Source organism: Homo sapiens, chromosome 11 (genome assembly GCF_000001405.40).
Source record: "Homo sapiens chromosome 11, GRCh38.p14 Primary Assembly".
Lineage (NCBI taxonomy): Eukaryota > Metazoa > Chordata > Mammalia > Primates > Hominidae > Homo > Homo sapiens.
Genome location: NC_000011.10, coordinates 79204628 through 79220467, shown reverse-complemented (window position 1 = coordinate 79220467; position 15840 = coordinate 79204628). Strand labels below are relative to the sequence as shown.

Below are 15840 nucleotides of genomic sequence, written 5' to 3'. Positions count from 1 at the left end.
AATAATAAAGAAATGTAAAAAGCTAAGTGGTTTGGCCAACGCTGCACAGCTGGTGACTGGGTGAGTTGTGATTCAGCCCCACTCTGCTTCCAAAGCTCCACCTCTTGCCACTGTGCCAGGCTTCCCCTCAGCAAACTGGAACCCTTGATTGTCAAGTACAGAACACACCTATCACTGTGTCCCATGTTTAGAATGAGGATATCTTTTTATTTTCCTTAAACAAAGTTTTAATAGCAGGCGTCTTGATGGAAGGTCATCTCCTCCAGGCTGCAGGTGCGATGATACAGTTCTGAGTGCATTAGGAGCCCTCTGGGCTGCCTTCCCTAAACAGGGGGTCAGCCCAGGGCACAGGAACGCTGAGTTTCTCACTGACATTCTTCAGGGACCCAGCAGGTTCCTGGGTATCCAGAAGATTTTCTCCCGGGTTTCTGTATCCACTGCTCCGGGTACCACGGCTTAGCCGAGAAGGGAAAGACAAAAACTAACACTCCTTGCCAGAGAGGAGGGTGGTTTCCTGCTACCTTTGCAGTTCTCTGCAGTCAGTGTTGTTGTTTTGGAACCTGACTTAACTCAAGGCATCATCTTATCTCCTTGATCTGTGGTCAGTTTGGGGGAAATCCAACAGAAGCAGAGGCACTCTGCATTTAATTCCACCTGGGCCTTCCTGAAAGGCAGCCCAGGAAATGATCAAGCTCCACATACCGGTGGACAGCCAGGAGATGCACTGGGAGAAGAAAGACGGTTGTGTCAGGTACATGGTGTCATGCACAGGGTTACAGCTTGCTTTATGACTTGCCTAGAGAGGAAAAGAACAGGGTTTGGATCTTGTCTCCCTTGCTTCCTCACTAGGGGATTTGGAGCAAGCAGCTTAGATTCCCCAGAGTCTCCTTTCTTCACCTGCAAGTCTGGAAGGATAATGCTTGCCTCCTGCAGTTATTTAGAAGGCTAAATAACATCAAAGCACCTAATAGCCTGCCCAATGCCTGGCACACAATTAGGAGCTCCCTGCCCCCAGGCAACTCCACTTCCAATTCATATTGTGCAAGGCTTGCCACATTCATCTTCCTAGAGCAGATCTCCAATTATGTCACATCTCTGCTCTGCTCAACAGCACTCAGAGGCTCCCTATTACTCACTGAACAATGACCACATTCCCCAGCCTGTTGAGGCCCACATCTCTTGTTGGGTGTGATGTCCTCCACTTCCCTCTGCACAGCTTACACATGCTGGAAAGCTGAGCTCGACACTTGCTCTTTGTCATGCTTTTACCTCCCATGCCTCTCCTCCCTTATGTGGAGTACCTGCCCTGTCTCCATGTCCCCTACCTTATACAAAGTCTGCTGCAAGGCAGTCTTCCATGATTTGTCAGCCATGGCGATCTCTCCATCCTCTGTCCACACATTAGGTTCTGTCTGCATCTCTCTTACAAAACTGCCAAACATTATAGTTCTCCGTGGCTATGTCTTGTTTTTCTTGCCAGCCTATGAGCTTCCCAAAAGCAGGATTTGCTTCTGAATCATTATTGTATTCTATCCAGCAACAATCCTCAGTATATGAATGAATGAGTGAATATGTGAATGAATGAATAATGCCATAATCCCTTCCTAACTCAATTTCCCCTCAACGGAATGCTAGCATATAAATACTTTTAAAAACTTTCCAGCAACAAATGAGCATTTTAGTTTCATTAACTGTCTTTGTTTTGTCTACTGGAGGTACTCTGGGAAAAAAAGGGAATTTAGGGATGGGATTTGAAAAGGAAATAAACAGATTGAAAGATTGAAGACAAACAGTTGAGGTTTTCCCTGAAGCCTTGGCAAGGATGAGGGCAGAAGAGGAGTAAAAACTGTAGCTCTGCAGCTTCTTCAAGAGGGGAGGGACCATAAGGCACAGGTGAGAAGCCAAGTCACAAGCTTTGGCCTGAAGCTGTGAGGGGAAGGGAGAGATGATGGAGTTTTATAACCCAGACACAAAAAAGGGAGCCTGAGAAAGAAATTTGAGTGTTTCATCCAAGCATAAAACGTACATATCACTTACATGACTAGGACCCCAGCAGGACCCTTGGGGACAAAGCTAACAGCTCTGTGTCCTAAAAGCCACCAGACATTTGGCATTTGGGGAGAGCCCCAACACCAGAGAAAGTACCTTTTCCCTTGCCCATTTTTGTAGCCAAGGCAGCCAATTTCCTGCTGTCTTTGGAACTTGGGGTGGGGTTGTGTGTGTCGGGGGTGGGTGGGCAGGGGGTAAACTTCTAATGAACAAGGCAGGGTAATAAAAATTAAAGATGTAATAGCCATTATTGCCTATTTGAAATGCATAAAATGATAGTCATATCCTAATTAGTGTACTGCCTATTTTTAATCTTAATGAATATAATGATTTATAAGGATTTTTCTAGGTTTACTCCCAAACTCTTGTTAACTTTACTTGTGCCCATTAATTTTCCTACCCTGGCCAGGCATGGTGGCTCACACCTGTAATCCCAGCACTTTGGGAGGCTGAGGCAGGTGGATCACCTGAAGTCAGGAGTCCAAGACCAGCCTGGCCAACATGGCGAAACCCCATCTAAATACAAAAATTAGCCAGCCGTGGTGGTGGGCACCTGTAATCCCAGCTACTCAGGAGGCTGTGGCTGGAGAATCACTTGAACCTGGGAGGCGGAGGTTGCAGTGAGCTGAGATCATGCCACTGCACTCCAGCCTGGGCCACAAGAGCAAAATCCTCATCTCAAAAAAAAAAAAAATTCTACCCTGAAGGTAGTTCAAGAGCCAGTCTCTGGAGAGTACCAACAGGATACTCTGTACTTGGCCAGAGGCTGCTGAATGTTCCTGCCTAATAGAGTTACTCTTTATTTAAAATAATTTGCCATAAAGAAACATAGTAAATGTAGATGAAGACAACAAAATTTTACTATTAAGTGGATTTTGTTTTTCATGGGAATTCCCAGCAATTCCTCACCTTATAATAAACAGCAATGTTTTTTAAGCTAGGATCCTAGATCTATTTGGGAAAAATGAATTCAGGGAACTTCTCAAATAATGGCTTTTTGGGGGTTAACCTCCTATGCCTAAGTGTATCCTTCATGCCTTATTCTTTAGCCTAGTAGGTCTCTTGTATAATAAGGCATTTTGTAGTATTTTTTATGGGTGAGTGTGGCAGTATGGGGCAGGAAAAGTACAGGGACCTTGAGTCTTTGAGGGCCTATATTCAAATTCCTATTCCTTCTCTTGGAATGACCTGAGGCAAATGACCTAAAACCTTAGCACCTCCCCCTTACCCTTCTTTTGAGTAGGGTAGAATTTCTTTTCTTCATTTGGAAAAACCTTTATTTTGTACGGGTATCTCCTTTGTCCCAGAGTCCTGAAAATCAAATTTATAGTCATAGGATTCTAGGGCCAGAAAGGACCTCACGTGTCCCCCAGTTCAGAATTTCCTTCTTTCAGATGAGGGAACTGAGGCTTAGAGGGGGGAAGTCATTAGCCAGAGGTTGCAATCAGCAGCTGGGCCAGAACCAGGACTCTTCTGCGTAAGGACCTCTGCCCAGGTGACTCCAACCCTCCCATGTGGTATATTACAGGAAGATCGACCCATTCCACAGATCAAGTGCCTTAGTCCATTTTCTGCTACTGTAACAGAATGCCTCAGACTGGGTAGTTTATAAAGAAAAGAAATTTATTTAGCTCACAGTTCTGGAGGCTGAGAAATCCAAGAGCATGGTGCTGGCATCTGGTAAAGGCCTCCTGCTGCTTCATCCCAGGGGAAAAGGCGGAAGGGCAAGTGAACACATGTGAAAGAGACAAGCATGAGGGGCCAGCCTTGCTTTATAACAACCCATGATTGAGATAACTCACTCACTGCTATGAGAATGCATTAATCCATTCATCAAGGCAGAGCCATCACAATCCAGGCACCTCCATTAATCCCTACCTCCCAACACTACCACATTGAGGAATTTAGGTTCCAACACTTTTGAGGAACACACTCAGACCATAGCAGCAAGAGAGTAAGATTTAGAGAAGGCCAGTGACTTATTTGTCTGGTGAATCTGTGACAGAACTGTTAACGGGGGCCACTGGCCACTAACCCTAGACCTTAGCCCCATGTTGCATTCCTTGTCTACTCCCATCACAGTATGCAGTCAATCCTTTGTGCAAATAACACGCAGTTCCTACTTTGCTCCAAGCCCTGTGCTGGGTGCTTGGGTTGTATAAAGGGCAGATCTTCAGTCCCTGTCCTGCAAGCTTCAGTTCACTCAAGGAAAGGTGTGTAAACAATTATTTTAAGGCAAGACCATTACTCCCATAGCACAAGATGAGATGGGAGAACAGAAGAAGGTACATTTGAGCCTCTCAGGAAGGCTGCATAGAGGAACCATCTGTGTGGGATTTGCAGGGTGCCAGGACCCCACTTTCTTCTCTTCATTGCTGTGGGACCAGGAACAAGCCTCATTTTCCCATAGTGTGTGTTTGCAATGACTGCTGGAGCGGAGGGTCTGTGAGAAAGGATTGGGGCATCTTGCCACCTCACTCAGTTGGATCTGTGTTCTCTGCTTCAACAGAAAAGATCCCGCACCATCCTCCAGGATCCAATGGCCTTGGAGAGAGGGCTGCAGGGCCCACGGACATTGCTGACTCTTCAGAACGTGCTGACATGGAGCCAGGTCAGTCCCCTTGTCTGCTCTGATTTTCTGTCATTAGCTGCAAATTTGTGGCCTTGATGAGAAATGCAATCTCAGACTCTGAACATTTGCATGTTTTTTGGTTGGAGGCTTTTACGACTTGGCAGCATAGAAAGTAGAGGAGTTCTGGCCAGAGTAAAGGTAGCCTTCTCCGGGAACAGATGCAGTAGGACTGGTAGGTGGCAACGGTTGCTGGAAACCAAGCTGGCAGCCAGCATGGTGGGAGGGCAAGGTGGGCAAGGATGGGGCATCTAGCAGGTATGTGATGGGGGTGCTGGCAGCAAGGAGGTCACATGTCGGTCTAGGACCAGAGAGGCAGCAATGCCAATCAAGGTCATTCTTGGGTACAGGAGACCAGGGTGCAGGGCCCAGAGTCTGGTGGCTATGTGTTGAGCTGAACTGGAGTGAGATCAGAGGCACAGTGGGGAATAGGATACGGGGAGGTGAGTGGAAGGCTGTCCAGAAGGCAGGTGGTCTGGAGGCCAGGTCTAGTGCCTAAGATGGCTCTCTAGAAGCGTTTCCTCATATTGCTGTGCAGAAAAGCAATGAAAAAAACAGCAGGAAACTCCTGGATTCTATGGGAAAAGTGGAAGATGTTTCAAGCTAGAGGAGGAACATGGTACAGAGAGGAGTGAAATTGTAAGTGAAAACTGGTTACATTGAGGGAGGCTGAGGACACAGGAAGGATCCAGGGAAGAGGGAGTATGGCCTTTATTGAAAGCCCACTGTGAACCTACTAGGTACCAAGCACTTTTTCTTATCCTTCCAGCAATCTTTCAAGATAGAAATATGAGTCTTTTTAGGCTTAGTTATGCTGCAGTAATAAATTAACTCCAGAATCCTAGTGGCTTAACATAGCGGAAGTTTATTTCTTTCTCATGCTACGCATCCATCAAAGGTTGGTAGAAAGCTTTGCTCTACCTAGTGACTTAGCGACCAGGCTGATGAAATCTCTCCCATATTTTAGGGGTACGACCTGGATGATTGGCCCCTTTGGTCTCTGTAGCAGAGGAGGAAATCACTGGAAGGTTGAACATTGACTCTTAAATGTGTTGGTCCTGAAGTGACACACCACCCATTGGCCAGAACTAGCCCTGTGGTCCTGCCTGATTTCTGGGATTCCAGGAGGTGTGGGAAGACATGGATATTTTAGGAGCAGTAACTTCCCCTGCCACAGTAGATATGATTTCTATTTTATAGGAAAGGAATTGAGGCTTAGAGAAATTGTCTTGTCAAAGGTCTTCCAAATAAAAAGTGCTGGAGTCTGGACCTTACATAACTTCTGATTAATCATTTATTTAGTTATTCGACAAAGACATATGGAAGATTTACCATGAGTGCAGCACTATGTTAAGCTCTGGGGATATCACAAGGAATAAAAACAAAGGTAGGCTTTTCCCTCACCCTGACAAGTATATAACTACAAACTGAGATCAATGCTGTGCAGTAGAGACATAGGTTCTCTGAGGAGCTCCATTAATATTTTTTGCTTTTTGGCCAGGCTTGATGGCTCAAGCCTGTAATCCCAGCACTTTGGGAGGCCAAGGCGGGTAGATCACTTGAGGTCAGGAGTTCGAGACCAGCCTGACCAACATGGTAAAACCCCATCTCTACTAAAAGTAAAAAAAATATTAGCCAGGCGTGGTGGCAGGTACCTGTAGTCCCAGCTACTCGGGAGGCTGAGGCAGGAAAATCACTTGAACTCTGGAGGCAGAAGTTGCAGTGAGCCAAAATTGTGCCACTGCACTCCAGCCTGGGTGACAGACAGAGACTCCACCTCAAAAAAAAAAAAAATTTATTTTTTGCTTTCTTTAGAAGGACAGGTAAAGTGGGGTCACATTTACTGAGGCACTGTGCCAAGTAGTTGAATGATGCATCTCATTTGACTCCCACAACCCCATAAGGTATTCTTATGACCCCATTTTTTAAGGTAAGAAAACCAATGCTCACTCAGCATAGTAAGATAAAAGCTGAACTCTTCAACCTCACCATACTCACTTGTAATAGTGACATGAAAGTTAAAATTTAAAAGTCATTGAATCTAGACCTCCACCCCATCTAAATCTGAAGTGTGGTCTCCTCTTCCTCCTCTTCAACCCCTCTCTCACCGGGGGCTTTCTCTCCCTGGTTCCCCAACGCCCAGCCCAAGAGACTTGGCTGCTCATCCCCACATGGGGGCCTTCCACGTAGTTGGTCCCATCAAACTCATCTAAATTGGAGGAGGAAAGACGTTTTGCAAAAATACTAGGCTGCAAGAATCTGAGTCTAGCAGGATGGAGCAGTCCTCCCAGGCCAGTTCTTTCTGGGCCCCTCTTCTGCTTAAACCTTTCTCCATAGCATCTGTCTCTACCTGGTGTGTATATTACTAGACAAGTTTAATTGCCTATTTTCTGTCTTCTTCTATTAGAACACAAGCTCCACAAGGGCAGGGACCTACTTTGTTGGCCCCTGCAGTGTTCTTCTGCCAGGAAAGATGCCTGGCACATGGCAGGCACTTTGTAAAGATTCAAAATGGGAGCATAAGAACAAATCATTGAACAGGTTCCATATTGTGACTTGCTTACATGCTACTATTCAAGCCATCCAGCCTCCACATACACTGTTCCTTCCTCCTGGAATGTCCCCACTGCCTTTCTCCTCCCACCACTAGCTCACTTTTCATGCACTCACTCTGCCTGCCCAGGAGGGTGAGGTCCCTTCACCACATGGCACAGACATTATCCATTCATCCCCATGAGCCTGGGGATTTCCTGGAGGCAAGAATAGCTCCTCATTGAGCCCTCAGTGCCTGACACACAGATAGGACCCAGTTACTGTCTGTTGTCTCGAGCCCAGTGGACCAGAACAGCATCTGGCATTGCAGCCCAGAGGCCCCTTTCCTCCTCTGTGAGTTCCCGTCTCCCTCGGTCAGGAGGCGGAGACTTGTTGCCAACTTAGCCTCCTCCTGCTTAACGGCTGGGAGATCAGGGGGAGGAGGTAAATGGGACACTAATGAAATTCAGAGAGAAAACTAAATCGGGAGGTGTTGCAAACACTGTGGAGGAGGGAGACGTGATTTAAAAGGATGTTTCCAGGGTAGGAGGAGGAAATGGGGACTGTGGAGAGCCCTGGAGTTAGCTTCACACGGCCTCACCTCTCACACCTGCAGTGGGATGACCCCTGTGAGTCACCGTAGCTGCAGGCCCTTCACTTTTCAGTCTTCAAATTAGGGGTCTTTTAGCTGACTGACTCATTCATTCAGTCATGCCTTCCCACCCCCTTTCCAAAAAGGATTTGAGTAGGTTAACAATTTAAAATTAAGCAATTAAGTCCAAGAACATTTAATAAAAAGCTTAGGGTAGAAAGTAGGGGACAAAAAAGGGAAGAGGAGAAGAAAAAGAGATTCTCAGGACCACTCAGAAACAGGGGTTCCTGGAAAGGGGTTGCAAATCAGTGTCTTGAGGATGGCACAGGCCTTGGTGACAAGAAAATGGGTGCTAAAGACCTTTAAGGATGGAACAGCTCTGGTCATGTGGTAATCATGATGGCCCGTGCCTCAGAGCACTTTCAGATCCATGGTCCATTTTTTCAGTTATAAGCATTGACCATCTGCTACATGCCAGGGAACCCACATCATGTTTTTCTCTCTCTGTCTCATTAAATGTCACAAGACCTTGCAAGGTGGTCTTTTAAAGTTCACATTAGAGTTATGGCTACCAAGGCACAGAGAGACTGAGTCGTCTGTTTAGGAAACGGTGCTGGGGCACTAAATGTCCACATGCAAAAACATAAAGTTGGACTCTTTCCTCACACCATATACAAAAATTAACTCAAAATGGATCCCAGTCATGGGCAGAAATTGCTGCCTGAGGAGGCTGCCCAAGAACACTAATATACCTTGTCCTCCCCTGCCTTCCTGCCTTCTTCACAGCATGCCCTAAAGCACCTGTGCTCAAACTCTCTCATTTCAGCATTCTGTTTTACTCTTCAACGTTATTGAAGACCCCAAAGGGTTTTCATTTATGTGGATTATATCTGTCAAAATTTGACATATTATTAATTAATACTGAAAGATGTTAAAATTGTCATTTATCACTTATTTAAATTAACAATAATAAACCCTTACTTTAACATAAATAACATATTTTTATGAATAATGACTTTTCCAAAAGAAACAGAAATGAATGGAGTGGCATTGTTTTACATTTTGGCAAATCCCTTCAACGTTTGGCTATATAGAGGTATCTGCTTCTGCATTCAACCTCGAAAACTCCACCGTGAGTTCATAAGAAAGCCAGAATGAAAAGGGAAAATGATGTTGTAGCATTGTTATAAATAGTTTTGACCTCACAGACTTCCTGAAAGGTTTTAGGGACCCTCAGGGATCCCTGGCGCACACTTTGAAAACTGTGGGTATAAAAGGTGAGATACTCCCGAGTCCAGCGGGGAGTGAGGAGGAAGTCAACCGTGAATCTAGTAAAGAGAAGACGGGAAGTGGGAACAGTCTCAGTACAGAGGGGACAGGAGTTCTCCTGGAATGACGCCTCACTGCTGTAGGGAGACCTTAGGCCTTTGCACATGGTATTCTCTTGGCCTAGAATGCTTTTCCCAACTTAGTCTGTTTAGCAGAATCTTCTTGGTGCTTTAAGGTCAAGTTGGTGTAACTGCCTTCAGATTGCCTTTCTTACCATCTTTCCAAACCCAAGGCTGAACTGCACTCCCCACCTCACCCAGAACCCTGGTGGGTGAGCATTTAAGCAGAAGAGTGGTTGCAGGTGTGGTTCCAGGTTGGGGTCGGTGCCTACCGGGGAAAGGTTTGGATGCCAGGCCAAGGAGGTGGGGCTTTTTGTGATTGTTGTTTAAAAAGTAAGAAGCCATTGAAAGTATTTTTATAAGCAACTTCTTGATGGTGTACAAATGTATGTATACAGAGGGCTATGGTCACCAATAGGCAGATAAAAGTCATCCACTACTAATTCTAATTCATTAGCAAATAAAGTAATGCCCGTTATCTAGAAGAGAGGGGGAAATGAGAAAAAGGAGGAGGAAAGAAACCAGCAGCAAAATGAGCACTCACTATGTGCCAGGCATTCTTCCTGTCATCATCGCAGCAGTTGGCGGTGTTTTCCCCATTTTCAGATGGATAAGCAGATTTTCCTCCCCTCCGGGCTCCCCAGGTTACCTTGCTAGTAAAAGCCAGAGCTGGGATTCAAACTGCAGACTCCCATCAGCCTCTTTCAAGGCCCATGACCGCTTTTCCCACGACTCCACGCTTGCTTGGCACTGTTTGCTTGGCCTTCAGTGTTTACTGCTATGTACTGCTGCTCTTTTAAAGATGTGTTTCTGTTGTATCTTTCCAGACATATTTTTCAGTTCTTGGAAAATTGAACAGGGACACCAATATGCTCCTTTGGTCCACCCAATTGGAGTCTATCATGACAGTTCCCATGCACACAGCAGACAATCCATAATCCCTGCTTTCGTGTTGCTTGCTTTTCATGGAAGACATGACGATTAAGATGTGAACCCCATGTTGCTATTAAATACAGGTACTGGTGACAGAGATTATTACATGGTCAGGCCCTGTTCATCCTGGCTGGCGATGAGAACTGGGAAGTCAAAGGAGTTAGGACAGTGCATTTTTTCTCAGGGTCAGACTGAAGAAATAATCCTAAAGAGGACACCGTACTTCCTATGTAAATATTGAGTAAAGCAGACAAACCTTATGAGGCTAAGAGTATATTGTCCCATATGGTGCCAATTATGTCTGTTAAGTAAGGATAAATAAACATTTACTGAACTCTTACTATGGCTTGGTATCTATGCTAGGCATATTGTATGTTTTATCTTCACTATAAAAACCTATATATTTTTGGCTCTAAGAGATAGAAATGTCCCCATTTCCAGTAATCAAACTGCAATGCAGAGAAGGACATATAGCTGATACCTGGTAAAGCTGGAGTTTGAAGCCAGGCCTGCCTGTCTTGTCCTTTGGAAATACCATACTTTCCCCACACAGGGAGAAATGCTAAGGCTGGTTCTAGCAGGGTGCCATGCACTGACTGGTGAGGTTGGAGCGGTCCTTAGCAGTGCTGCAGTGGCCACTGGTAACCTCATGCCGGTTTCAGCTCTTTCTTTCCAGACCATGTCTATCTTCCTAGGCTTCTTCTGCTTCCCTGTGATTGCACCTCCAGTCTCTACTCAGAGCACTCAGGATGCCCGCGGCCTCCCCATACCACCATTGTCTTCCAGCACCCAGTGTTAGCTTCATTACTATTCCTGGTGGACTAACTGAACACATGAATAGGCTTAGGGAAGAAGAAGGAGCAGTGAACCTAAGATGAAATTTAAAAGGTGCCACAGATTGTGCTGGGAACCCAGGAGTTCCCGATTTGCTTAAAAAAGGAATACTGTGAGGGAACGCCTTCTGGCCCAGGGCTCCCATGCTTTGGGAAGGAGCAGCAGACAGCCACAGAAGCTAAGTGTGGAATTCTGCCCTTTCCCAAGGCCGGCCGGGTTGGGGTTAGCAGAGTGAACTCAGCCACTGCTGTGGATGTTGCTGCTCTTCCAAAACCCCTTTGATGCAATCCTTCTTTACCTATCCTGCATCCTCGGAGTAGGGAAGCTGCACAGTGCTGGGTGTGCAGTCAGAATGATTGCAGAGCCATTTACAAGCCAAATGCTAGTTTATTTCCAAATGGGAAGGTCAGTGTCATTATCCTTGGTGGATTCAATTACCAAATCCTCCCAAACATTGGGCTCGCTTCCTGTTGCTAATTGCACCTGCGGCTGCACACCTCGGTGGTCAGTTTATCCAAAGCCACTGAGGTAGTGGCCCGAGGGTTGTTTGCAAGGCTGTGGACCTCTGTCGCTGTACTGCCTTGACTTACCCGCTGAGAAATGGGTCTTCCACCTCCCATTGCCTTTGTGAAAATTCCCCTGGTAGAAAGGAGCAATGAGAAGCACATAAACCTTTGCCTCTTTGGATTCTGGCCATAGTGGAAAAGCCAAGTATGCAGAAAACACTCCAGGGGTGAGAACAGACATTTGTTGAGCGCCTATTAGATGTCAGCCACCGTGCTAGGCATTTCACAGTCCATTTAACACTCTCAACTACCCAGTGAGGTAAGCGTTGTTATTTCTGATACACAGATGGGGCCACAGAGCCTCAGAGAGGGTCAATGACTTTAAGTCACACAGCTAGGAAGTAAGGGAGTCTGGAATTGGATCAAGGTCATCTGCTATGAAGCCGAGCTTCTTCCCACTGGGTTGAAAATAATCACAAGAACAACATCAAGAACTACCATCTGTAGCATGGTCAGTATCTGCCTGAGTAGTATTAGCTCATTTAATCTTTACAACAACCCAGTGATAGTAGGTATTCTTATCACCCCCATTTTACACATGAGGAAACCAGGGTGGAGAGAAGTACTTTCAAGATGAATAATTCTCCAAAATTGGGTCTTCAGAAGGCAAGCCTCAGCAATCTGTCACTGTTTGTTGCTCTGTCATAAATAGCACTTTTCTAAAATAGGCAAAGGCCTTACTCATAGATGTGCTTAATACTATGTAGCAATTGATCATTAATTTCATGGTGTTCTGTCTGCCCCACTGGAATGGGTATTCTGGTTGCTGTTAGCCTCTGCTGGCCATTGAGATGCCGATGACCCGTGCTCTGAGAGACTCCTGATAGAGACTCCTGCTCTAGGAATTCTAGAGCAAGAATTCCAGGATGTTAAGAGGCAAGCATGTTAGAAGGCCATATGGTACAGTGACAGAGAGCAGGCTCTGGAATAGCATTCCTGTCAGAGGTGGGCTTGTGACTCTCTCTAGTTAGTGATTTTCAGTGGCTTCCCGTTGCTCTCCAGAGGAAGCCCAGACTTTACACTGTATCATAGGAGGCCCTAAATTATCCCCCACTTTTTTTTTTTTTTTTTTTTTTTTTGAGACAGAGTCTGGCTCTGTCATCCAGGCTGGAGTACAGTGACACAATCTCTGTTCACTGCAACCTCTGCTTCCTGGGCTCAAGCGATCCTCCTACCTCAGCCTCCTGAGTAGCTGGGACTACAGGTGCATGCCACCATACCTGGCTAATTTTTGTATTTTTCTGTAGAGACGGGGTTTCACCATGTTACTCAGGCTGGTCTCAACCTCCTGAGCTCAAGCAATCCACCTGCCTCGGCCTCCCAAAGTGCTGGGATTACAGGTGTGAGCCACCACACCCCGCCACCTGTATTATCCCTTTTCCCAAGAGTTTATCACAGATGGCAGGGAGCTCAGGCTCTGGTTTCAAATCTGGGCTTTTCTACTTCCAAAGTGTGTCCATCTCCTAAAGCAAGTTACCTAGCCACACTGTGCTTCTGGAACTTTATGTGTATAATTGATATAGTAGTAATAACAAAATAATGTTGTTGTTAGGGTCAAATAAGATAATACACATAAAGCACTTGGGACACCACCTGGCACATGGTTAACACTCTCACTCCGTGTTAGTTGGGATATTATTATTCTTGGCAACAGCAGCAGTAGTTGTAGCTTTCATAGCAGTGCTTCCTGGCCTTTGCACCTTTACAAAGCTCTTCTCTCAGTATGTGCAGCCCTTTGGATACCTTGAGCCTGGCAAACTCCTGCTCATTCTCCCAGGTCCCCCTGGAGGTGAACTTGCAGGCAGCCTGCCCCGACCCCACAGGCTCATTGCCTTGCTTCTGCCCCTGTCCCACAGCCGATAGTCTCTGTGGCCTTCCCAGCATATGTCACCATTCTCTGGGCACATGGGGGCATTTCTAGATGTCCTGACTGGGAGCTCTTGAGGTCAGGGAGATGTCTGAGCACCACGAAGGCCCCCAGTAAATGTTTATATCATGAATTTGTCACTGTCCCATTCTTAGTCCTGCCCAGGACTAAGAAATTCATAATTGGTGTTTGCAGGGATTTAGGCAAAGAAGGTTAAAGCTACATGGTGAGGAGCGTGTATTAGTCCATTTTCACGCTGCTGATAAAGACACCTGAAACTGGAAACAAGAAGAGATTTAATTGTTCCACATAGCTGGGGAGGCCTCAGAATCATGGCCGGAGGTGGAAGGTACTTCTAACATGGCAGTGGCAAGAGAAAATGAGGAAGAAGCAAAAGTGGAAATCCCTGATAAACCCATCAGATCTCATGAGACTTATTCATGAGAATAGCATGGGAAAGACCAGCCCCCAGGATTCATTTACTTCCCCCTGGGTCCCTCCCACAACATGTGGGAATTCTGGGAGATACAATTCAAGTTGACATTTGGGTGGGGACACAGCCAAACCATATCAGAGTGTAAGAAGTACATGGGAAGCCAGGGCTACACCTGTGTCCCCTGCACCTGAGTGTCACAGAGAATCAGGGAGGGCCTCATTATCTACCACTGGCAACAAAAGCCCCACATAGCTTTGACCTCAAATTAGAAGAAAGCTCTCAGTTCCTTCCAATAGGCAGTCTCTGTTCCAGCACTGTTCAGGCAGCCACTTTCCTGCAATTCTAGATCTCTCTCAAGGCCTTCAGGAGATGCCAGATTTCATTCTGTCCCCTTGGCTTTTTCTTCTGCCTTCTCTGGGAACATAGGGGCATTTCTAGATGTCCTGACTGGGAGCTCTTTTCTTCTGCCTTCTTTTTGATTTTCCCACTTCAGGGCAGCACACCCAGATACCCAGGCATGGGAAAGAGCTCTACCATAGGGGAGGTTCCCTAAGCACTTGCCCAGAGGCTAAAGGACTTGGACAGGCTTCATTGCTCCCTATAAGGCCTAGAAACTTGAAGCAAGTGGGCACCCTGGCCTTGTTCCTGAACACCAGACCTGCCAGTGGCCCATGGCCTTGGCCTTAGCATTCACTCTGAGTTCTGTACTCTGAGCTACCCTCTTCTCAGCACGGTGGCTGCATGGAGTTGGTTCAACATTAGTAGTGCCTCCTTTCTCTCTTCCTTCATTTCAATTATAAAGTGTTCCTTGTATCAAAAAGTAGAATAAAGAATACAGTGAAAATCTGTATACCTACCACCCAGTCCAAGAATTAAAACATTCTAGTTATTATAATAGCCAAAACTGGAATTAGCCTAGATGTCCTTCAACAGGTGAACAGTGAACTGTGGTCCATTCATGCTATGGAATGCTACTCAGCACTAACAAGGAATGAACTGTCTTATGTATAACAATTTGGATGAATCTCCAGGGAATTACACTGAGTGAGAATAAAACTATCTCAGAAACTTAACTACTGTCTGATTTCATTGATTTTTGAAATGACAAAATTTTAGAAATGAGGTGAGTGGCTGATGGAGTTGAGGACCTGGGCTGGGGGTGGAAGGGATGCGGGTATGGAGATAAAAGGACACATGAGGATCCTTGCCTGTGGAGACGTTCTGTATCTCGACTGTGGTGATGGACACACAAACCTATGCGAGTGGTAAAATTGTATAGAACTTAACCCATACACACATGAGTACCAGTAAAATGGGACATTTGAATATGATTGGTAGACTGTATCTATATCCATATCTTGGCTATGACAGTATTTTATACTTTTGCAAAATGTTACCATTGGGGAAGCTGGGCAGAGTGTAAAAGGGACCTCTCTCTTGTTTCTTAAAACTGCATGTGAACCCTTAATTATCTCAATACAAATATCAATTTAAAAAAAGAAAGATATTGCAAGTAACTTTAAAAGAAACATAATAGGTACAACTGAAGATAACGGTGTGCCCCCCAATCTCATTCCTCTCCTTCCTAAGAGGCAACAAGTATCTGGAATTTAGTATTGCTCATTCCCACACAATTCTGTACTTTTACTACATATGTATGTACAGTATCCACAAACAATAGATGCTATCGTTTGGTATATCTTCAAACTTGATATATATTGGGTTTTGTTGGAACTTACCACTGTGTATAACCCGTTGTGTGACTGTAATAGAGCTCATTTATCCTTTCACTTGTTGCTGGACTTGGTTGTTTGTTTCCAGTCATCCAGCACGAGCCGTGTTGCCGTGAAGGTTTTTGCTGATATCCTCTTGTGCACATGTGTAAGACTCTCCCCACTATACCCTAGGAGCGCATAGGATGGCTAGGACACAGGGCAGGCACATCTGCAGCTCTACTAAACACTGCCAAATTTCCTTCCAAACTATACCTATTTATTCTCCCTCAAGCAGTATA

At 45.6% G+C, this 15840-nt stretch overlaps 1 protein-coding gene across 5 annotated transcripts in view; it reads left to right on the top strand.

Annotated features, from left to right (window-relative positions):
* The window catches only part of TENM4 (teneurin transmembrane protein 4), a 788202-nt gene that overhangs the window by 220563 nt on the left and 551799 nt on the right, over positions 1–15840 (top strand). For all 5 annotated transcript variants that reach the window (XM_047426739.1, XM_047426737.1, XM_047426736.1 and 2 more), the window contains exon 3: positions 4559–4660. In XM_047426739.1, coding sequence (XP_047282695.1) covers positions 4651–4660 — 10 coding nt within the window. In that variant the 5' untranslated portion in view covers positions 4559–4650. The remainder of the gene's footprint in view (positions 1–4558; positions 4661–15840) is intronic.